The 25,689-nt window shown below is 34.4% G+C and overlaps 1 long non-coding RNA gene across 1 annotated transcript in view, besides 1 other annotated feature; it reads right to left on the reverse strand.

Moving 5' to 3' along the window:
* The window catches only part of LINC01192 (long intergenic non-protein coding RNA 1192), a 126,059-nt gene that overhangs the window by 46,538 nt on the left and 53,832 nt on the right, over positions 1–25,689 (reverse strand). The window lies entirely within an intron of this gene.
* Positions 9,274–9,443: an enhancer, noted in NCBI's record as "experimental_66341 CRE fragment used in MPRA reporter constructs". NCBI's record gives its function as "activates a minimal promoter by MPRAs in K562 erythroleukemia cells, with activity observed for both the introgressed and non-introgressed 3:162950927 variant alleles {active_cell/tissue: K562}" and the evidence as "EXISTENCE:reporter gene assay evidence [ECO:0000049][PMID:34662402]".

A 25,689-nucleotide genomic window follows, 5' to 3' on the forward strand; every position in this document is an offset into this window, starting at 1 on the left:
CACTTCTTAGATCATATACTTTTGTTACTGAAAATTGACAATCATCTTTGTGGCAAAACTTAGCTAGAGGATCAATCCTGCTTCATTCATTTTTATATAATTTTGATTCCAGTTATTTTATTTTGAAATTATTTACTGATTCAGTGACACTTGGAATTGTTAACCACTGCTAGAAAAATGGCACAAGAAAAAAGTAAAAACAATTTAAAGTTGTATGATTTATCTTATTAATTCCCTGATTCTGTGTCATAATAAGCAGCTCAGATTGATGTCACTTGTGAGAAGACAATAAAAGATTGAGAAGTGGATAAATGGAGAGAGAGAACCAAGCATGTAAGTACACAGGGACAAAAGAAAAGAATACATACGCATCACTGCACAATGCTTACTACGCTAGAACTTAATGTAAGATAAAGGAATTAACTGGAGACACAGCTAAACAGGTTGACAAGCAACAGTTCTAGTAGACCATCTACAATCTTTCTATACATCTGTACACATAAAGATGTCCATCGTACAAAAACTTTAGGTTTGATTTTAGTAGTATGTAACACTTACTAAATACATAGATTTCAGTATATATGTGGATTATGTACTACAAATAAAGAATTCATAATGTTAAAATGTATGAAAAGTAAATGCTTCCAAAACTAGATATATCTCTAATTACATTCAGTTGTAATTATTTACCAATAAATATTGTATCAGAACCATTGCCCATTAACTACATTCCATAAATATAAAACTTTACTCGTTGATTACTCAGCAACTACCTACTCCATACCTGTTACATGGCAGTCCTTCTTTTTATATTGAAGATACTATACTACATAAGGCAGGTATTTTATAGTCATGTATCACTTACAGTCCAATAAAAAATATTAAAAATATTGACATTTTGTAATATATGGGGTACATATGTTGGCATAAAATATTATGTGCCCATAAACTAAATGAGTTGAATAAGCATATACTTTTCCTTTCCCTGAGAATTCTTTAAAGAACAATGATTTTAACTTTCTTCTGAGAAAAATTAAATTTTCTCTTTTTCTATCCTCAATGCCTATATTCACTTTTTCTCTGGCACTAACCTAAAGCCAAGTGCAGGTTCTTTGCTTCACTGACATTTAAGCTCCCATCTTAGATTATATACCTAGAAGACTTAAATAATTTTTTATTTTTAAAAATTGTCAAAACATGAGATTTAATGTATTTAAATATACTAATACAATAACATAAAAATACAATACAATAATATAAATATAATATAAAAATAATATAAATATAATATAAAAAAGGAACTGTATTTTTGCACATACTTTATGGCCTCTATCAGCCAACAAATATTAATTACATAACTATTATGTGCCAGGCACTGCTTTTATATGCAGGTATAACAACATATTTATCAGCTAAAAGAAGGAATATTATTCTAGGAATAAAGAAAGTATAGAAGGTCTGCTCAAATTAAAGCAGAAGAGAAATAAGACCCATAATAGTCAAGCCACAAATATCAGACACATTTAGTAGATGAATGCCCAACAATAAAATTATAGAATTTTTAATCTCAAAGTATGTTCACTGTAGATACTGGCAAAAATTGACCAAATAATTACAAAACTGAGCAGTAAATAATGTGCTCACAGCTGAAATGGGTTGCCGAGGGAAAATCTAAGATCATGCCAGTACAGCCTATGATTAACCAACATTTCCCAGAGACGTTTATGCATAAGATTAAAAAGAGTCTGTAAAATATTATTTTCTTTAAAGTTAATAATCAAAATTTGATTAAATGATATTTAGAAATGTAAGCACCATTAAGAATTGTACATTACTGTTTTTTAAGTTGAGGGAAGTTCCATACTTTTTAAAAAATTCTCACCCAATGGTGGTAAGCAGAGTGCTTGCTTTATTACATAAATTGATGTATTTTTCTCTCTATGCAGTCCATATTCCTGTGCATACTTTTCCCCTCTGAGAAGAACTTTATACAGCACTTTATACAATATAACATAGGGAAGAAATTGAGAAGTACTCATGAATTTTCAGAATCATTATTTTGGATTGCTAGAACTGTCACAAGAGAATGCCTTTCTAGAGAATGTGGAGGTCTTCCATAGAACTTAGCATATGAGTAATTGGGAAGGCGTTAGTATATTAAAACATTTTAGGTATATAACCAATTCTCAAAGTTACTAAAATTTTTTCATTACATCTAGATATTAAAATTAACTGAAAATATTTGAAAGAAAATGAAATATTTAACAAACTAGAAATATCCAAAAGTTTATATTTTGATTGATATTACATTATACTTAATACAGTATGTCTTTAGAATAATCATAAGGGTAATTTTCCAGTAAACATCCAAGGACATTTCCATATACATGGCTGACTTAGCAGTATGATTTATTTCCCTTGTTTCCACATCTATATTAAACTTTGCCTTCTAGTATTTAAGAACACTGCATAGTTTCCTATACTGGGTTCATTCCGTATGATCTTTGTGATCTTGGGGAAGCTACATAAACTCCTTCATGAAATAAAAGTAATCATTATACTAACCTCATCAAGTTTTAATGGGAATTTTTAAGTCATGTGGATAAAAGCATTTACCACTTTACAGCTCTGCTTGACTCATAGTAAAGTCTTAATTTTTATTTATTTATTATATATTATTATTTTTAATTTATTTCATTTTATTATTATTATTTTTTGAGACAGAGTCTAGCTCTGTCGCCAGGCTGGAGTGCAATGGTGCAGTCTTGGCTCACTGCAACCTCTGCCTCCTGGGTTCAAGCAATTCTCCTGCCTCAGCCTCCCGAGTAGCTGGGACTACAGGCACCTGCCACCGCACCTGGCTAATTATTTTTGTATTTTTAGTAGAGACAGGGTTTCACCAACCTGGCCAGGCTGGTCTTGAACTCCTGACCTCGTGATCCACCCGCCTCGGCCTCCCATAGTGCTGGGATTACAGGCGTGAGCCACCGCGCCCGGCCAGGTCTTAATTTTTATAGATGTATTGGTTAAAAATAAACCTATTCACTTTCTCTCAGACAAAACAGTAGCTTAAGCATTTAAGATAAATTAGACCAATAGTTTTCAATTAAATACGTGAATTTGATACACATAGATAATTTTATTTTAATGTAGACAAACTGGGCCTGCCTCGGACAAACTGTTTTTAATTGCAGCCCCAAAGTTAACGACTATTAACCTAGATAATTTCTTGACCCTCAGGCTTATCTTTAATGTCCATGATCATGGAAATAGAAATGGAGAGACAATAACTATAGTCAAATACATGGTTTTTTTTCCTGAATCTCCTTCTTTATTCTTTCTTCTTAGAAATTACTTTCTAAAGTAATATTTTTACATGTAAATTGAGCAATTACAAATATGCATGTATTTTCCTGATATCTACAGTTAGTGTGCTATAGTGAAAAGATTGACTTTAAATAGACTGATCTAATTCCAGCTTCACCAGGTATTAACAATATTCTATCTTCTTCTTGGACTTCAGGATTCTCAAGATTAAAATTTGAAAATCTATGGATTTGAAGAATTGTATTCAATGACAAATGTAACATACCATGTTTAGAACCATTCTTGTCTATAGTAGCAGTTTAAAGGCACTAGTAGTAGCATTTCCCCTTCTCATTTTATCTTTAAATCCAAGCCTATCTCTTCTGTATATAATTGGTAAATGCTTTCTTGAGTTTGAAGTTATGAAGACCTCACAGGGTTATTGTAGCAAATTAAACAATATATAAAAATGTTATTTTTAAAAGCAGTAAACCATTTTAAAAACAAAGGTTGCTACTGTAACCTTTCTGCGATTCAGTCCTATATATATATTTGCATTTGGAAAAATAAGATTCCATAAACAATTACAAAGCACCAGTCACATTTAAAACTAAATTTATATCTATATCTATATCTATATCTGCAAAATGCAATAGTCTCTATCTTCCCTTACCTTCTTGACTGATATTTTTAGGATCCCAGTAGTAAATATTTTTTTCTGAGTCTTTCAACAAAAGAAACAGATGAGATTCAATATCTCATCACTTTCAAAAAGTACTGGATAGATAAGCATGCGTTAGTTTCTTTAACATGTATTACATACTTCTTATTTTTAAACTAGCGTTCTAAATAAAAATAAGTTTGTACAACCTATTAGGCTTATTTCTCCAAGGGCATAAAAAATTAGAGTTATAATTTGTAATAGTCCCTCATGGAAAGTTGCTGAGAGTGGTATCCAACAGGCAATGTACTGTAGTTAATGAAAGGTCTATGCTAATTTTGTTTCCAATTCAGCTTATTCTTTACAGAAGAAAAATAAAATAATATATAAAATACAGATGTCTTCACATAGTCCCAGCTCTTTTAAAAACCAACAAAGCATCAATCTAAAAACTAAAAAAAGAAAAAAATGATTACAATTCTGTGGACATAATGGGGAGCTTATAATGTTTGTATTTAAAAATGAATATAATAAGAGTAAAATTATTCTGTCTTTCATGGGAAATGAATAGGTGACTATTTACAAGAAATATTTGTACATTTGGGGAATAATTTATCTTCTGAAAATAAAGGCAATAAAAGAAAAGAATGACAAAGCATTAGATTTACTCCATGGCACATTCTAATTATTTAGTTAATAGTAGTACCTGAAAAGAAACATATGATCATCCAAAAAATCCAAATAGAGATACTTTTCTGGTTACTGAAGAAAATTTTATTGATTAGATTTTAAATACACTTTATATTAACTGCATGATATAATGATGTATAATTATATAAGGCATTTCAAAAAATAAAAAGACTTTATCATAGGTGATTACAATAAAGACAAGGAAAGAATCTTCATCAGTCGTTTATTTATCAATTTCAAATTCTTTGGTATTTTGACAGGATATATTAACCAGACAACTTCTGTTTAGGAGGAAAATCAAGGGCAATGAATGAGGTAAGGACCATTCTTTGACATACTTTCTCTAGCCTTGGTTCCTACTGTACTATTTTTTGGCTTGTCTTTAATTCTATTTGAGATCTTGAAATATTTTCTCCACAACGAAGATATTTATCATATCATCTCCACCTTCCATGTGAATAACTGAATTTTCTTTATTGTCCCCTCCCTCATTGGCTGTTAGCTACCAGATAGAGATCTGAACTTTCTATTTAATTTTACATATGGTCCATTTGCCATTGCTAAGACCCTGTCTATCCATATATGAGTAACTTTTACATTTCTACTGTCTTCACCATCTGTTCATCCATTCCTTTAATCATTCACTGTCTTAGTTTGAGCTATTATAGCAAAGTATCACAGAATGGACAGTTAATAAACAACAACAAATAAATATCTTTCACAGTTCCGAAAGCTAGAAGTCCAAAATGCTAAGACCAGTGTGGCTGGGTCATGGCCTTCTTCCTGTTTGCAGACTGCCAGCTATTCATTGTGTCCTCATATATATTTTCTATTTTCTTGCAAAAAGAGAGCAAGCTGGATCTCTTGCCTCTTCTTGCAAGACTAATCCCGTTCATGAGTTTTCCACACTCATGACCTAATTATCTCCTAAAGGCTCTACCTCCTAATACCACATATTGGGGGTTAAAATTTCAACATATGAATTTGTATGGGACACAACATTTAGTTCATAATATTCACCCAATAAATATTAATTTAATTCTTAAATGTTGTATGCAGATCAACGGAGTCTATCTCAATTTCTCTCCGTCATGGATAGAAAAATCTTTCTCTTCTCTACAGATATTTTAAAATATTTCACGTGTTAAGGTTCTTTTCCATGAGTCTAGTACCAAGCTGTTTTGGTTACTGTAGAGTTGTAGTATAGTTTGAAGTCAGGTAGCATGATGCCTCCAGCTTTGTTCTTTTTGCTTAGGATTGTCTTGGTTCTTTTTTGGTTCCAAATGAAGTTTAAAGTAGTTTTTTTTTTCTAATTCTTTGAAGAAAGTCAACGGTATCTTGATGGGAATAGTATTGAATCTATAAATCACTTTGGGCAGTATGATATTTTTCACGATACTGATTCTTCCTATCCATGAGCATGGAATGCTTTTCCATTTGTTTGTGTCCTCCCTTATTTCCTTGAGCAATGGTTTGTAGTTCTCTTTGAAGAGGTTCTTCACATCCCTTGTAAGTTGTATTCCCAGGTATTTTGTTTTCTGCGCAGCAATTGTGAATGGGGATTCACTCATGATTTGGCTCTCTGTTTTTCTATTATTGGTGTATAGGAATGCTTGTGATTTTTACACATTGATTTTGTATCCTGAGACTTTGCTGAATTTGCTTATCAGCTTAAGGAGTTTTTCGTCTGATATGATGGGGATTTCTAAATATACAATCATATCATCTACAAACAGAGATAATTTGACTTATTCTCTACCTATGTGAATACACTTTATTTCTTTCTCTTGCCTGATTGCCCTGGCCAGAACTTCCAATACTGTGTTGAATAGGAGTGGAGAGAGAGGGTATCCTTGTCTTCTGCCAGTTTTCCAAGGGAATGCTTCCAGCTTTTGCCATTTCAGTATGATACTGGCTGTGAGTTTGTCATAAATAACTCTTATTTTGAGATACGTTCCATCAATACCTGGTTTATTGATAGTTTTTTAGCATGAAGCGGTGTTAAATTTTATTGAAGGCCTTTTCTGCATCTATTGAGATAATCATGTTTTTTTTTGTCATCAGTTCTGTTTATGTGATGGATTACATTTATTATTTTGCGTATGTTGAACCAGCCTTCTATCCCAGGAATGTAGCCGTCTTGACTGTGGTGGATAAGCTTTTTAATGTGCTGCTGGATTCAGTTTGCCAATATTTTATTGAAGATTTTTGCATTGATGTTCATCACGGACATGGGACTAAAACTTTCTTTTTTTGTTGTGTCTCTGCCAGGTTTTGGTATCAGGATGATGCTGGCTTCAGAAAATGAGATAGGAAGAAGTCCTTAGGGACCAATGGAACAGAACAGAACACTCAGAAAAATAACACCACACATCTACAACCATCTGATCCTTGACAAACCTGACAAAAACAAGCAATGGGGAAATAATTCCCTATTTAATAAATGGTGTTGGGAAAACTGGCTAGCCATATGCAGAAAACTGAAACTGGGACACTTCCTTAACACCTTATATGAAAATTAACTCAAGATGCATTAAAGACTTACATGTATGACATAAAACCATAAAAACCTTACAAGAAAACCTAGGCAATATCATTCAGGACATAGGCATGGGCAAAGATTTCATGACTAAAACACCAAAAGCAATTGCAGCAAAAGCCAAAATTGACAAAGGGGATGTAATTAAACTAAACAGCTTCTACACGGCAAAAGAAACTATCATCAGCGTGAACAGGCAACATACAGAATGGGAGAAAATTTTTGAAATCTATCAATCTGACAAAGGGCTCATATGCAGAATCTACTGTGAACTTAAATTTACAAGAAAAAAGCAAACAACCCCATCAAAAACTGGGCAAAGGATATCTACAGACACTTCTCAAAGAAGACATTTATGCAGCCAACAAACATAAAAAAAAGCTCATCATCATTGGTCATTAGAGAAATGCAAATCAAAACCACAATCAGATACCATCTCACGCCAGTTAGAATGGTGATCATTAAAAAGTCAGGAAACAACAGATGCTGGAGAGGATGTGGAGAAATAGGAATGCTTTTATACTGTTGGTGGGAGTGTAAATTAGTTCAACCATTGTGGAAGACAGTGTGGAGATTCATCAAGGATCTAGAATCAGAAATACCATTTGACCCAGCAATCCCAATACTGGATATATACCCAAAGGAGTATAAATCATTCTACTATAAAGACACATGCATACAAACGTTTACTGCAACACTGTTCACAATACCAAAGACTTGGAACAAACCCAAATGCTCATCAATGATAGACTGGATAAAGAAAATGTGGCACATATACACCATGGAATATTATGCAGCCATAAAAAAGGAGGAGTTCATGTTCTTTGCGGGAACATGGATGAAGCTGGAAACCATCATTCTCAGAAAACTAACACAGAAACAGAACAGCAAACACCACATGTTCTCACTCATACACGGGACTTGAACAATGAGAACACATGGACACTGGGAGTGGAACATCACACATCAAGGCCTCTTGAGGGGTTGGAAGCAAGGAGAGGGAGAACATTAGGCCAAATACCTAATGCATGCTAGGCTTAAAACCTAGATAATGGGTTGATGGCTGCAGCAAACTACGATGGCACATGTATACCTACATAAAAAACCTGCACGTTCTGTACATGTATCCCAGAACTTAAAGTATAATAATAAAAAAAAAGTTTCACGTGTAAAGGTTCTTGTGATTAATACTGCTTTTATTTTAATTTTCTATTGTCACTTAATATTTTTCCACTGTAAGCTGATTTTTTTACTATATGCTGAAAATTACACTATGCAAATACATGATAACATATTCTGAAATATGATCAAGAGAGTATTAAAATAGCATTTAAATAGTATCCTAGGACAACTCAGACAGATATTGAAAGAAAATGTACCTGTATTAGAAAGAGCATCTTTCTGAATGGTGGGGCAATAATGAGGATAAGTGGAAGTTTATTCCTGATGCTGATATTGAGTAAAGACTAAAATAATAAAAATAAGGAATTTATACTCAATTCACAGAATTTCTAATTGTTATATGCACTGGTAATGTTAGTGTATCTTTGCTTACAACAAGTTAATAAAAATGTATTGAAAATATAAAAGAAAATCCTATGAAATTAAAGAAATATGAAATAATCAGATATTTAGGAGGCTAGAAATAAAAATAATTCTGGATTTAGACACATAGACAGTAATAGATTGCTTCTTTAGGTTTCTGATTACCTAGCTCCATATTTTCTGTGTCAATACATAGATGATTTGAATTTCTGGGAGTAAAACCCTGGCTCAGTTTGTTCTGGGTTGTTTGCAGTTTGCATTTTTAGTCATAACACATTTTGAGCAAAGGGAGTTATTTCAAGCATTTGGAAGGGCTAAATGATTTGTATCCACACATTGTGGTATTGTTTGAGAAATACTTAATTTTGGGATTTAAAAATTAAGAGTTCTGAGGTTAACTACGCAATCCTATTCAATTTAAATATGCTAATACTGTTTGAAAACAATTAAATCACTTGCCCACAGCCACACAAGTGTTTAAAAAAAAGGCAGAAATAGATTTTACATTTTGGAAATTTTAATTTTTATTGGCTTTTCTCTCTCCTCCCCCAACTCTCTTCCTCCTCCTTCTGCTCCTCCTCCTCCTCTTCCTCCTTTTTTCTCCTCCTCTTCCTCTTCGTCATCTAGATTTAATTATTTCAACTTTCACTTCTGACTAATACAGAGTCCTGAAATATTAGAATTGCTAAAGATATTTCTTTCCCCAACTGCTAGATAGAGGTAGAATGTAAATGTGGATGTGCAGGGAGTTATTTGAAAGAAAGACATGATATAGAACCTATATACCTTGTTCGGGAAAACTCATAAGCTTGATGATAGAAGCACCTCATCTTAGGAAATGGGGGCAGCCTAATGAAATTGAGCTTTGGAATCAAATAAAGCTGCCTAAAATGAAATGTCTGCCATCTAGTTCATCAAGTTGTTTAAACTGTGTGAGACTCAAAAAATCATTTTAAAAATGATTCATCTTCTATTTATTGGACAGATTATTGGGAACAATGCATGCAAAGCATTTTGCATATTATTTGGAGTATAGACAAATAAAAATAATTCTAGCAATGTTACAATAATTATTATTTTCTATTGTTAAAACAACATTTGCATTAGCTTATCTTCTTATATACAGAATTAGCAGCTACTACTTTTATGTGCATTTCTGATTAATGAAACAGTAATACAAGAATGGAATGGTGATTTAGCTGGCACTTATAGTAAAGGTTATGCTTATATCTGGTACCTTTTAGGTTCATATAGGTAAATTTTGTTGTTCCATGTATATATAACGCAACTCTTAAACACGTATAGCATATGTGCAGATATGCACATACATATATAACCATCTCATACATTATGCATAGATCATATTAATGACAAATTCAGCCTTTAGAAATGCACTCTTTCCTAAGTATTAGAAAATTCTAATATAATAGCAAACCATAGGCGAGTATCAGACTGATGAAATAAACTGTCTACAGGGAACATTCAAAGCTGAGACTGCTGCTGAAAAACCTAGACCAAAAGTCTTTTAGAGGTCCAATTCTTCATTAATGTATTGTTTTTCTGATTCATATCACATCCTGTTTATGAGATAGCTGTTATAACATGAGCTAAATTTTCTGTGTCAATACACAGAGGATTTGAATTTCTGGGAGTAAAACCCTGGCTCAGTTTGTTCTGGGTTTCTGAAGTTCACATTTTTAGTCATAATACATTTTGAGCAAAGGGAGTGATTTCAAGTATTTGGAAAGGCAAAATGATTTGTATCCACACATGTCATATCTTCATGTTAGAAGGACAGAAACAAAATGTTACACGAAGCAATACCAGCAGGTTTGTTTTCTTCTCATTGGTCTGAACTGTGTTATGCCTACATTTATCTACAGGGGAGCTTGGGAAATCCAGTGTAGTATACATAGGAAAGCAGACAAAATTTTAAAAGGACAATGAGTTAATGTACAAAATGAGCCACAGCAGCAAATCAATATTAAAATTTATTATAATTGAATAAACTAGTGTTGAAATTTATTAAAATTAAAATAATACTAAAATATTAATTTATATTGAAATAATTGGAAGCTTCTAATGTCATACTTGTTTTAGATTGTAAACACTTAGAAGTGAAAGACAAACACGTTTCCCTTGATGAATTTTATTTGGACTTATACGTATATTAAATTCTCTTTGAAGATAAAAAATTAAAAAGACACTTCTCAAAAAAAGACACTTATGTGGCCAACAAACACATGAAAAAAAGCTCATCATCAATGGTCATTAGAGAAATGCAAATCAATACTACAATGAGATACTATCTCACACTAGTTAGAATGACGATCATTAAAAAGTCAGGAAACAGTTGCTGGAGAGGATGGTGGAGAAATAGGGATGCTTTTACACTGTTGGTGGGAGTGTAATTTAGTTAAACCATTGTGGAAGACAGTGTGGCGATTTCCCAAGGATCTAGAACCAGAAATGCCATTTGAACCAGCAATCCCATTACTGGGTATATACCCAAAGTTTGTAAATCATTCTACTATAAAGACACATGCACACGTGTGTTTATTGCAGAACTATTCACAATAGCAAAGACTTGGAACCAACCCAAATGCCCAACAATGATAGACTGGATAATGAAAATGTGGCACATATACACCATGGAATACTATGCAACCATAAAAAAGGATGAGTTCATGTCCTTTCCAGGGACATGGATGAAGCTGGAAACCTTCATTCTCAACAAACTAACACAGGAACAGGAAACCAAACTGCAAGTTCACACTCATAAGTGGAAGTGAACAATGAGAACACATGGACACAGAGAAGGGAACATCACACACTGGGGCCTGTCAGGGGCTAGGGGGCTAGCAGAGGGCTAGCATTAGGAGAAATACCTAATGTAGATGACGAGTAGGTGGGTGCAGCAAACCACCAAGGCACATGTATACAGACATAACAAACCAACATGTTGGGTACATGTATCCCTGAAATTAAAGTATAATTTCAGAAAAAGTTAATAGATTGATTGTATTCCATTACATTTTGAAGAAGGTACACATTCTTAACAGATAATAAAAATGACAGCTTTTTCTCTGTATTATTATTATTATGTTTTAATTTATACGTGCTTAAGGAAAAAAGACAAATTAATGTAGCAGAATTTGAGCAAAGAATGGTTCATGAACTAGGCATCAATCAGAACCAGAAAAGGGTCAACAAACTCTATTCAACAGTGGGAACAGAGATGTTTCATAAACCCAACACAAAAGCAAAATAAATAAATCACCTGATTGGCTACGCTAGGAATCTGCGTTACTTGGTCATGGTGGGATGAGGCATTTGCCTTAATGGGCATTGCATGATGAATTGGCTGCCTATAATTGACTGAAGCTCACCTGCTTGTGACTAGGTGAAACTCAGTTGTTGGTTATACTCCTAAGTTAGGTGTCAGTTTGTTTACATACTCAGTTATCTTTTATTTCACTGTATAGGGATTTATGTACGAAGGCAGCCTCAGGCCAAATTTAAGTTAATTTGACAATTTGTTCCTTTTGGTCAGTCTTTCAGTTTTGAGAGATTGACCAAAAATTTGGGCATTGATGCCAGTCTCTGTCATCATCATAATGGGCTTGCTTGGTCTCAGTGTGGAATTCACAGTTCATGATGTTAGGTCAATATGACCACTTTACAGTATCTTGCTCTAACGACAGAGAGACCATGTGACACACTGTGGATGGCTGCACGCAAACATCTATGACATTTGAGAGAATATAGCACAATAGTGAGACTACTGTAATGACTTTCGGCAGGATAATACCAAGAGACTAAAATGTGCTTCTTAATAGGAGCCTATATGAACAAAATTAATTAAAATAATATAGATACAAAATGAGCCAGAAGACAAATCTAGTTATGATCAAATAGTTTGTTTGTAATTTCTTGCAACTGAGTCTCCAGCATATCAGACATATTTATCAAACTGCAGCAAGAAGTGTAGGCTATCACATACACCCACCAAAAGGTAGTCCAAAGCAATCTTCTTATCTAAAACAACGTTAGCAAAAGAATTTAAAGAAGCGTTCTGGATAGCTATAGCCTTTGCAGTAGAATCAGCTATACAGTTGCTAATGTTTGAGACAGTTCTGTAATAATAACTTCATTTGCATTTATGCTGATCCAGAGAAACAACATTCTACCAAAAGGTGGTCATTTAGAGGACTTTATTCTTGCTGGCAAATTCCTCTTTATTCCACAGTGCAAAATAGGAGGTAAATTTCAATGTTCAGTTCCAACTGGTAGTTGAGTGACAGTGGTACCCTTAGAATCCATAATCTACATTTGCCCCTTATTTTTCACTTAAGAAGACATGAAGTTGCCCATACATGTGGTTAATTGTTAAATCCACCACAAATAAAAATATACCCTCGGAGCCAAGATGGCCGAATAGGAACAGCTCCGGTCTACAGCTCCCAGCGTGAGCGACGCAGAAGACGGGTGATTTCTGCATTTCCATCTGAGGTACCGGGTTCATCTCACTAGGGAGTGCCAGACAGTGGGCGCAGGCCAGTGTGTGTGCGCACCGTGCGCGAGCCGAAGCAGGGCGAGGCATTGCCTCACCTGGGAAGCGCAAGGGGTCAGGGAGTTCCCTTTCCGAGTCAAAGAAAGGGGTGACGGACGCACCTGGAAAATCGGGTCACTCCCACCCGAATATTGCGCTTTTCAGACCGGCTTAAGAAACGGCGCACCACGAGACTATATCCCACACCTGGCTCAGAGGGTCCTACGCCCACGGAATCTCGCTGATTGCTAGCACAGCAGTCTGAGATCAAACTGCAAGGCGGCAACGAGGCTGGGGGAGGGGTGCCCACCATTGCCCAGGCTTGCTTAGGTAAACAAAGCAGCAGGGAAGCTCCAACTGGGTGGAGCCCACCACAGCTCAAGGAGGCCTGCCTGCCTCTGTAGGCTCCACCTCTGGGGGCAGGGCACAGACAAACAAAAAGACAGCAGTAACCTCTACAGACTTAAGTGTCCCTGTCTGACAGCTTTGAAGAGAGCAGTGGTTCTCCCAGCACGCAGCTGGAGATCTGAGAACGGGCAGACTGCCTCCTCAAGTGGGTCCCTGACACCTGACCCCCGAGCAGCCTAACTGGGAGGCACCCCCCAGCAGGGGCACACTGACACCTCACATAGCAGGGTATTCCAACAGACCTGCAGCTGAGGGTCCTGTCTGTTAGAAGGAAAACTAACAACCAGAAAGGACATCTACACCGAAAACCCATCTGTACATCACCATCATCAAAGACCAAAAGTAGATAAAACCACAAAGATGGGGAAAAAACAGAACAGAAAAACTGGAAACTCTAAAACGCAGAGCGCCTCTCCTCCTCCAAAGGAACGCAGTTCCTCACCAGCAACAGAACAAAGCTGGATGGAGAATGATTTTGACGAGCTGAGAGAAGAAGGCTTCAGACGATCAAATTACTCTGAGCTACGGGAGGACATTCAAACCAAAGGCAAAGAAGTTGAAAACTTTGAAAAAAATTTAGAAGAATGTATAACTAGAATAACCAATACAGAGAAGTGCTTAAAGGAGCTGATGGAGCTGAAAACCAAGGCTCGAGAACTACGTGAAGAATGCAGAAGCCTCAGGAGCCGATGCGATCAACTGGAAGAAAGGGTATCAGCAATGGAAGATGAAATGAATGAAATGAAGCGAGAAGGGAAGTTTAGAGAAAAAAGAATAAAAAGAAATGAGCAAAGCCTCCAAGAAATATGGGACTATGTGAAAAGACCAAATCTACGTCTGATTGGTGTACCTGAAAGTGATGTGGAGAATGGAACCAAGTTGGAAAACACTCTGCAGGATATTATCCAGGAGAACTTCCCCAATCTAGCAAGGCAGGCCAACATTCAGATTCAGGAAATACAGAGAACGCCACAAAGATACTCCTCGAGAAGAGCAACTCCAAGACACATAATTGTCAGATTCACCAAAGTTGAAATGAAGGAAAAAATGTTAAGGGCAGCCAGAGAGAAAGGTCGGGTTACCCTCAAAGGAAAGCCCATCAGACTAACAGCGGATCTCTCGGCAGAAACCCTACAAGCCAGAAGAGAGTGGGGGCCAATATTCAACATTCTTAAAGAAAAGAATTTTCAACCCAGAATTTCATATCCAGCCAAGCTAAGCTTCATAAGTGAAGGAGAAATAAAATACTTTATAGACAAGCAAATGCTGAGAGATTTTGTCACCACCAGGCCTGCCCTAACAGAGCTCCTGAAGGAAGCGCTAAACATGGAAAGGAACAACCGGTACCAGCCGCTGCAAAATCATGCCAAAATGTAAAGACCATCGAGACTAGGAAGAAACTGCATCAACTAATGAGCAAAATCACCAGCTACCATCATAATGACAGGATCAAATTCACACATAACAATATTAACTTTAAATATAAATGGACTAAATTCTGCAATTAAAAGACACGGACTGGCAAGTTGGATAAAGAGTCAAGACCCATCAGTGTGCTGTATTCAGGAAACCCATCTCACGTGCAGAGACACACATAGGCTCAAAATAAAAGGATGGAGGAAGATCTACCAAGCCAATGGAAAACAAAAAAAGGCAGGAGTTGCAATCCTAGTCTCTGATAAAACAGACTTTAAACCAACAAAGATCAAAAGAGACAAAGAAGGTCATTACATAATGGTAAAGGGATCAATTCAACAAGAGGAGCTAACTATCCTCAATATTTATGCACCCAATACAGGAGCACCCAGATTCATAAAGCAAGTCCTGAGTGACCTACAAAGAGACTTAGACTCCCACACATTAATAATGGGAGACTTTAACACCCCACTGTCAACATTAGACAGATCAACGAGACAGAAAGTCAACAAGGATACCCAGGAATTGAACTCAGCTCTGCACCAAGCAGACCTAATAGACATCTACAGAACTCTCCACCCCAAATCAACAGAATATACATTTTTTTCAGCACCACACCACACCTATTCCAAAATTGACCACATAGTTGGAAGTAAAGCTCTCCTCAGCAAATGTAAAAGAACAGAAATTATAACAAACTATCTCTCAGACCACAGTGCAATCAAACTAGAACTCAGGATTGAGAATCTCACTCAAAGCCACTCAACTACATGGAAACTGAACAACCTGCTCCTGAATGACTACTGGGTACATAACGAAATGAAGGCAGAAATAAAGATGTTCTTTGAAACCAACGAGAACAAAGACACCACATACCAGAATCTCTGGGACGCATTCAAAGCAGTGTGTAGAGGGAAATTTATAGCACTAAATGCCTACAAGAGAAAGCAGGAAAGATCCAAAATTGACACCCTAACATCACAATTAAAAGAACTAGAAAAGCAAGAGCAAACACATTCAAAAGCTAGCAGAAGGCAAGAAATAACTAAAATCAGAGCAGAACTGAAGGAAATAGAGACACAAAAAACCCTTCAAAAAATCAATGAATCCAGGAGCTGGTTTTTTGAAAGGATCAACAAAATTGATAGACCGCTAGCAAGACTAATAAAGAAAAAAAGAGAGAAGAATCAAATGGACACAATAAAAAATGATAAAGGGGATATCACCACTGATCCCACAGAAATACAAACTACCATCAGAGAATACTACAAACACCTCTACGCAAATAAACTAGAAAATCTAGAAGAAATGGATACATTCCTCGACACATACACTCTCCCAAGACTAAACCAGGAAGAAGTTGAATCTCTGAATAGACCAATAACAGGCTCTGAAATTGTGGCAATAATCAATAGTTTACCAACCAAAAAGAGTCCAGGACCAGATGGATTCACAGCCGAATTCTACCAGAGGTACAAGGAGGAACTGGTACCATTCCTTCTGAAACTATTCCAATCAATAGAAAAAGAGGGAATCCTCCCTAACTCATTTTATGAGGCCAGCATCATTCTGATACCAAAGCCGGGCAGAGACACAACCAAAAAAGAGAATTTTAGACCAATATCCTTGATGAACATTGATGCAAAAATCCTCAATAAAATACTGGCAAACCGAATCCAGCAGCACATCAAAAAGCTTATCCACCATGATCAAGTGGGCTTCATCCCTGGGATGCAAGGCTGGTTCAATATACGCAAATCAATAAATGTAATCCAGCATATAAACAGAGCCAAAGACAAAAACCACATGATTATCTCAATAGATGCAGAAAAAGCCTTTGACAAAATTCAACAACCCTTCATGCTAAAAACTCTCAATAAATTAGGTATTGATGGGACGTATTTCAAAATAATAAGAGCTATCTATGACAAACCCACAGCCAATATCATTCTGAATGGGCAAAAACTGGAAACATTCCCTTTGAAAACTGGCACAAGACAGGGATGCCCTCTCTCACCACTCCTATTCAACATAGTGTTGGAAGTTCTGGCCAGGGCAATCAGGCAGGAGAAGGAAATAAAGGGTATTCAATTAGGAAAAGAGGAAGTCAAATTGTCCCTGTTTGCAGATGACATGATTGTTTATCTAGAAAACCCCAACGTCTCAGCCCAAAATCTCCTTAAGCTGATAAGCAACTTCAGCAAAGTCTCAGGATACAAAATCAATGTACAAAAATCACAAGCATTCTTATACACCAACAACAGACAAACAGAGAGCCAAATCATGAGTGAACTCCCATTCACAATTGCTTCAAAGAGAATAAAATACCTAGGAATCCAACTTACAAGGGATGTGAAGGACCTCTTCAAGGAGAACTACAAACCACTGCTCAAGGAAATAAAAGAGGACACAAACAAATGGAAGAACATTCCATGCTCATGGGTAGGAAGAATCAATATCGTGAAAAAGGCCATACTGCCCAAGGTAATTTACAGATTCAATGCCATCCCCATCAAGCTACCAATGACTTTCTTCACAGAATTGGAAAAAACTACTTTAAAGTTCATATGGAACCAAAAAAGAGCCCACATCGCCAAGTCAATCCTAAGCCAAAAGAACAAAGCTGGAGGCATCACACTACCTGACTTCAAACTATACTACAAGGCTACAGTAACCAAAACAGCATGGTACTGGTACCACAACAGAGATATAGATCAATGGAACAGAACAGAGCCCTCAGAAATAATGCCACATATCTACAACTATCTGATCTTTGACAAACCTGAGAAAAACAAGCAATGGGGAAAGGATTCCCTATTTAATAAATGGTGCTGGGAAAACTGGCTAGCCATATGTAGAAAGCTGAAACTGGATCCCTTCCTTACACCTTATACAAAAATCAATTCAAGATGGATTAAAGATTTAAACGTTAGACCTAAAACCATAAAAACCCTAGAAGAAAACCTAGGCATTACCATTCAGGACATAGGCGTGGGCAAGGACTTCATGTCCAAAACACCAAAAGCAATGGCAACAAAAGCCAAAATTGACAAATGGGATCTAATTAAACTAAAGAGCTTCTGCACAGCAAAAGAAACTACCATCAGAGTGAACAGGCAACCTACAACATGGGAGAAAATTTTCGCAACCTACTCATCTGACAAAGGGCTAATATCCAGAATCTACAATGAACTCAAACAAATTTACAAGAAAAAAACAAACAACCCCATCAAAAAGTGGGCGAAGGACATGAACAGACATTTCTCAAAAGAAGACATTTATGCAGCCAAAAAACACATGAAGAAATGCTCATCATCACTGGCCATCAGAGAAATGCAAATCAAAACCACTATGAGATATCATCTCACACCAGTTAGAATGGCAATCATTAAAAGTCAGGAAACAACAGGTGCTGGAGAGGATGTGGAGAAATAGGAACACTTTTACACTGTTGGTGGGACTGTAAACTACTTCAACCATTGTGGAAGTCAGTGTGGTGATTCCTCAGGGATCTAGAACTAGAAATACCATTTGACCCAGCCATCCCATTACTGGGTATATACCCAAAGGACTATAAATCATGCTGCTATAAAGACACATGCACACGTATGTTTATTGTGGCACTATTCACAATAGCAAAGACTTGGAACCAACCCAAATGTCCAACAATGATAGACTGGATTAAGAAAATGTGGCACATATACACCATGGAATACTATGCAGCCATAAAAAATGATGAGTTCATGTCCTTTGTAGGGACATGGATGAAATTGGAAACCATCATTCTCAGTAAACTATCGCAAGAACAAAAAACCAAACACCGCATATTCTCACTCATAGGTGGGAACTGAACAATGAGATCACTTGGACACAGGAAGGGTAATATCACACTCTGGGGACTGTGGTGGGGTCGGGGGAGGGGGGAGGGATAGCATTGGGAGATATACCTAATGCTAGATGACACGTTAGTGGGTGCAGCGCACCAGCATGGCACATGTATACATATGTAACTAACCTGCACAATGTGCACATGTACCCTAAAACTTAGAGTATAATAAAAAAAAATATATATATATACCCTCTAGGTGCACAACAGACAGTCCCCTGTGGGATGCCTTTTGCATTAGGGGATCATCAGTAGGGAAGCACTGGTAATTTTTTTATTTTTTTACCAAGCCTCCACTATTAAATCATGGTGTAGTTGAAGTCTATGAACAATTTAAGGATTAGGGTTATTAATTCGTCTACAGGCTGTTTAATTATCTTTCTTTTGGTTTCTTATTCAATTTTTAACATAATTTAACTGAAAAACACTCACTACAGATTTTGTCAACTGTTCAATTTAAACAAGAAATCTGAATATGTTAATCTAAAAACCTAACTCTATAGAAAGTACTAGATGTTCAATTTGAACAAATATTAGGTTGGTGCAAAAGAAATTGCAGTTTTTGCAATTAAAATAATGGCAAAAATCGCAATTACTTTTGCGCCAACCTATAATTACACTGGAAGTGAAATAAATCTGTTAAACGATGAACTAGTGGATCTCTAAGATTATGTAGACATTTAGGTTTAACATGACATATCTAATATTTAATTAAGGTTCCTGAGCATGCTATTACTTATGAAATATTAAGTATTTCATTATGTTGCGACAAATAAAAAAATAAAGAAAAGAGGAAAAAGGGAAAAGGTTTCATGGTGACAGAGGAAACCTGTGATCTTGGAAAATCATTCTATCTCTAGAACGCCATCTGCTTGTGTGGAAAAAACAACCCTGGTCAACTGTATCTTGAGGCCTCAGTGGTTGCTCAGCCCCAAAAGTTTGGAGGGGCCCCCTTGAGTTGAGAAATGTGGATCTAATTCTCAACGCCCTGAAGTTTTTATATGTGTAGAACACCTTTTGGTTAGAACTTATTGTCTGTTACGGCTTTGGTAAAATAGGAAACAGTAAAGCAACTAAATAAAAATGGCTTTACAACAAACCTTTGACAGAGGAAAGACAATAAATAGTTTCTAGCATAATAGTAATATTGAATTAAAGCTATACTATGAAAACTGTATGAAATAATGTATTAGTGGCTGTCTTTCTTTGTTGAACTTTTTCCAAAAAGGTGATATATATGATATATATGAAAGGTGATATATATGATATATATGAAAAGGTGATATATAAATTCAAAATGCAGAACACATTTTATTTGGCAGTGATAGCATTTACTTTGAGGAATACAAAGGATTATTGATAAATGAGAGCTATAAATAAAAACTGTCAAAAATCTCAGATATAGTTTTGGATATGATATCCAGGAATTAAGTCATGATGATATATATTCAGGTGGATAGTAACATCAGCATTATAAAAATATATCTGAAATATATAAGTAGTAGTAATTTAAATATTAACCCAGTAAATTAAGAAATGAATGCTGAATAATTTTATTACTTATTATTTATTATTTATTCATATTTAATACAATAAATTTTTATATGTTGTAGTACAATGGATCATAAATGGTGAAGTAAAGTGGACAAAATATGTGTTTTTCTTTGCCAGCATTTATCATAACACAGGTTTGAGAGTAATAATCATTGAGAGAAATAAGCTTGAGCTGTTGAATATTGACTAATAAATTCAGGAATGATGAATAAGATCTAGAAAGGTTTAAAGTACAATGTTATAAAGGCTTTAGAACAACTTTTAAAAAACATATTTCAATGTGTAAAGAAGGTATCTCAGCCATCAGCTAAGTAAGAATATTGGGCTAGTCTGTCAAATTGAATCACTTCCCTTCATTTTCTAAAAACCCAACATGTAAATGATGCTTATTTCTGCTTATTAACCCATGGCCCATGTTAATTATGCAGGCTTTACAAATACTCCTTATTTGTAAGTTGGTTCATTTGATTATTTCATAAGTGACTAGAGAGGGAGATAATGAAAAGGTGATGTGAAGTCAAACACAGTTTCCACCTTAAGAAGTCACCTCCATTAAAGAGCCTTGTTCATCCCAGCAGGTTTATCTCAGAATGCTATTAATTCAATCTTTCTTCAAAATATGGAAGCTATGATTTTCTGTCTTTTAAAGTCAGAAAGTGAGAGAAAAACAGATTAAGCAGCTATTACTAATATTAAATGCTTTTTTCAAATGTGTTTTTCATTAATCTTTTACTAGTATTGTCTCAAAACATTAAATTAACTTTTAATTTTACTTTATTAATGAGCAGAAACTGTTTGATGCTGAGAATAACTATTAAAAGCTTTATATCATATATCATATACTAAGGGATTACTGAAACTTGTGCCTCTGCTTTCAAAGAGAATATTCTTCAATTGCAATACCTCTTAAAAATTTTTATTTTGTAAAATTAAATTATAAGAAACAAACCAAACAAGTCCTAAAGTTTTATTAAAATAGATACATTAAATAATATATAGAAGATTGGGTGGTCAGTTTTCTGCATCTGATTATGCATATTCAGATGCAGAATGTGTTGGAAGTTATGTTTTCAAAAACAAATTTTTATCACTATCAAAAGTAGATGTTTACTCTAGAAAATATAGAAAATACAAAGAAAAAAGAAGCAAAACTCTATATATAATGGGATATTTATTTCTTAATTGTTAATTCTATAAAAATGAAATATTACATAATGTTGTGTATCTAGCTTTTCTCTTTCAGTAGTACTTGATGGAGTTCCTTAAGCATTATATGGTGTAGTTCTAAATTATTATTTTAAATATTTAAAACACAATAATTCTTTTTATTCTTTATTGATTGGTGGTCATCTTGATTCTAGTTTATGGTTACTATGAAAAATATTTCAAGAACAATAATTGTTTTTTTGCTTATATTTTGTTATTTTATTTGCCAGGGATCAAGTCTCAGAAGAACTGCTCAAATTAAAAATGTATAATTGTTTCATTCCCATAGAAGCTGCTCTTCTATTTTTATTGATTACATTATCCATATTTAATTCTTTTATTCAAGTTTCCTAAATTTTTTATATTTGATCATATTTTCATTTAATTATTTCCGTTCTCTCTTTCAAAGATATTAATAATGTGCATACTAAGGTCCCTTTGCTGGTTTATCATTCTTTCCAATTATATGTAAAATTCAGTTCATTTCAACTTAATTAGGTTTGCGTTTTTGGCTCTGCTCTACAAGCTCTTGTTATGTTTTTAGAAGTGTTTATTCTTTTTTTATGCTCTGCATTAGGTTTTATATTTCTAATGGCTTATTTTTTTCTAAATATATTTTAAAATTCTTCAATATCATTTTGTTATTTTTGTTATTGCTTCTCTAGATTTTTACTGTCTCATTTGTTCACTTATATAAATATAATTCCTTCACTTTAAAAAAATTAACAATAATATGTAATTTTTATATCCTTTGTGGCAACCCCTTGGAAGTAAGTGACCTCTTTGACATATACTCATGATTTTCTCATTCTTTTCTTACATATTTAGTATATTATTAGCTTGTTTTCTTTTTCATGGTTATTTATCCTCATATTCTTTTTGCTTTTTCTGGAATTTTCAGAAGTTTTATTTAGGAAGTGGCAAGGAATATATTCCTGAAAAATGTCAGTTATCATCATGGCTCATGATTATCTTTGTGAGACAAATTCTGTTTAGCATATTTCTTCTGGAAGAAATAAGAAAGATATCACTGCAGGATGTCTCCCAAAAGAAATGACCATTCCAATAACTTTTGAAATTTCTTCCGCTACATGTTTTTATTTTTTGCATGTTTAAATAAGCCTGGATTTTTTTAACCCTAGCATAATTACAGTGGTTACAATTCCTAAATTTTTCATAATTTTGTCTATCAGTTTGCAACAAAATTGTTGCCTTCAACATTTTCTCATGATAATGTGGGATAATCAATGATAGGTTAATAATTTTCAAAATAATACTGTGCACCAAATATAAGTATTTATATGTTTGTATTCATATATACACATAAGTATGTATATGATATATATGTATATTCACAATATTCACACAGACACAGTGTGTATACATATATGTGTGTGTGTATTTGTGTGTGTGTTCATACTCCATAATTTCTGGTACATATTTAATATTAGTATTTTTTAATAGGCAGATTATAAGTACTACAGTATAAAGATACATCCCATTATTTATTTACCTGAATATAATGTTTATTCGTATTGGTGTTGAAAGCTAAAATTCTTTTAATATTTTTATTTCATTGATAATAGTTCTGTGCTTGTCTAGTTCAAGTATGTTTACCTAACCATTTGATAAAACAATTATATAGTTACAACACCATCAGGCTAATCATATTGATTTGTTCTGATTTGTTTATAATTGTTAAGTAATTATAATAAGCATTTAATAGAGTATCACAAGTTATTTTAATAGAAAATGTCAATATTCCTATGAATAAATATCAGAACTATTGTGTTTGCTTAGGGGAGTAACTTACTCCTTCAATAAACTTTTCATTCATATCCAGTGTTGCCATGCATTTTTTCCTGGGTTTGGCCAGCAAAATCACTGCCTGTGACTATTGCACTGTTACTTTGCAAATAGCTGAGGTTTTGTGATTATTCACTGTACCTCAGTGTTTATCATATATACTCATAGAAGTAAATAGTAAAATACATTATAAATGTGTATAAATTGTTTTCTCTTTCTGTATAAAGAAAGTCTATGGAAATATTTATTTTTCATAATTGAAAGAGTAAATAGAAACATAAGTAAGCATTGGGAGAGTATACATTCACTATCTCAAAGGAGAAGCTAATGAGAAAAAACATATCCATTATTGAAATAACCTAGAAATAAGTCACCATTGAGTGATGAGGTCAAAATAAAATATACTTCAAGTAAAACAATTATGCAACTAGAATATAATTTGGATGTAGAATTGAGGAGGTTTTGTGTTTAAATGCAGTTTCACAGCACTGTTCATTATAAAAGCCAACTACCATAAATGTTTATACTGAAAAAATATACTACATGGGTTGGTGAAAGGAATAAATCTATATAAATTATGTATCTATTATATATCCGGATCAATCTGTATATCTTTGTATATTTGTCTCATGTCTGTAAATTTGAGGAAAAAATAGGGTTGCATTTGAATAAGCACATGCTATTTGCTACACTTATTTGCTAGTCTTTTTCTATGCTGAATTCCTTCAAGCTGTGTTAAAACAAAACTGGTTACTTGAATAAAATAAATGATTACCTTAATTTTTTTACTCAAACTGCATGTACTACTGAACATTCCTCTCTATTACCTCTAACATTCCTTCATCGAAACACGTTTTACAAAGATAAAAAGTTGTTGGTGCCTAGTTTATCTGATTCTAACTAAAACCCAAGTAGGTCAGTTTCTTTCACCATGGAAACATTTCATCAGTGAGATAATGAGCTGATAATGAAGATACCAGTTAAATTATGGACCCAATATTAACAAAGAGAGATGCACTCAAGAGGTGATTTGAGAGAAGCAATAAACACCAAAACAGCAACAACAACAACAAAACATTATCATTCATGTGAAGTAGTGGAACAAATTACACACATTTCAAAGATCAAAATATTATATTTGAATATTGCTAGCCTTGGTACTGATTTGTGTTTTCATTGCATGATATAAAATAAATTGAATTTTTATTAACCCTTCATACATCTGACTTGAACTTTCAGATTTTATCAGTCAGGTAAAGCTAAGGAATTCCGTTGTGTGACATAACATTTCTGAAACATCCCAAGACACTTCTCTTTTCATCTATAGAGTATATAACTTTGAAATGGCTGAACCATATTCAGGAAAACAGCGACAACTTTTGAGATTAACAATACTTCATGGTAATTCTTTAGTGTGTATCAGAGTAGTTATATTGAAATAGAGTGACATAATACCCAAATGAACCTTGCCAAAATCTAATAAAATACATTGGCTAGTTAAAATAGGAGATAAGAAAGAGTGGAGACTGTTTTGTTTCCTCAGCTAAAGCATAGTATCACTGTCTTCTTCCCTCCAATCTTTCTCTTTTGCCATCTGCCACTTCTGAAAACTGACTTTTTATTGTGATTACAAAATGCCTGCTAAGAGCTCCCAGATCTGCATTATTCTGTCATGAAACAAGGGTAAGATTCCAGATGAAATATAGGACATCCTGTTAAAATTGAATTTCTGATAAACAGCAAATAGTTTTTAGTATAAGTATATCCTATGCAGAATTATTGACTGTTTATCTGAAATTCAAATTTAAGTGGTTAACCTGTATTTTAGTTGCTACATAGTAAGATTGCCAGCAATCTTACTAATGGGAGCAATATAATTTTGTATCTGGATATCCATAAAATGCCGTCTACGTACTCCTGGCTGCCGTGCTCAAGATGGATTTGTTGAATTCCATTGTTGGCCATTCAGCTAGTAAATGCATCTGTTTATGGCTTGATTATCATGGGTCTTATCTCTCTCTGCTTCTGGAAACTCAAAAAAAAAAAAATAAATAAATAAGAAAGCTTGTTTTCAGAAGTTCCTGCAAAATATTTTCTCATGCCTCATTTTCCAAATACAG

The sequence above is a fragment of the Homo sapiens genome, chromosome 3 (genome assembly GCF_000001405.40).
Source record: "Homo sapiens chromosome 3, GRCh38.p14 Primary Assembly".
Lineage (NCBI taxonomy): Eukaryota > Metazoa > Chordata > Mammalia > Primates > Hominidae > Homo > Homo sapiens.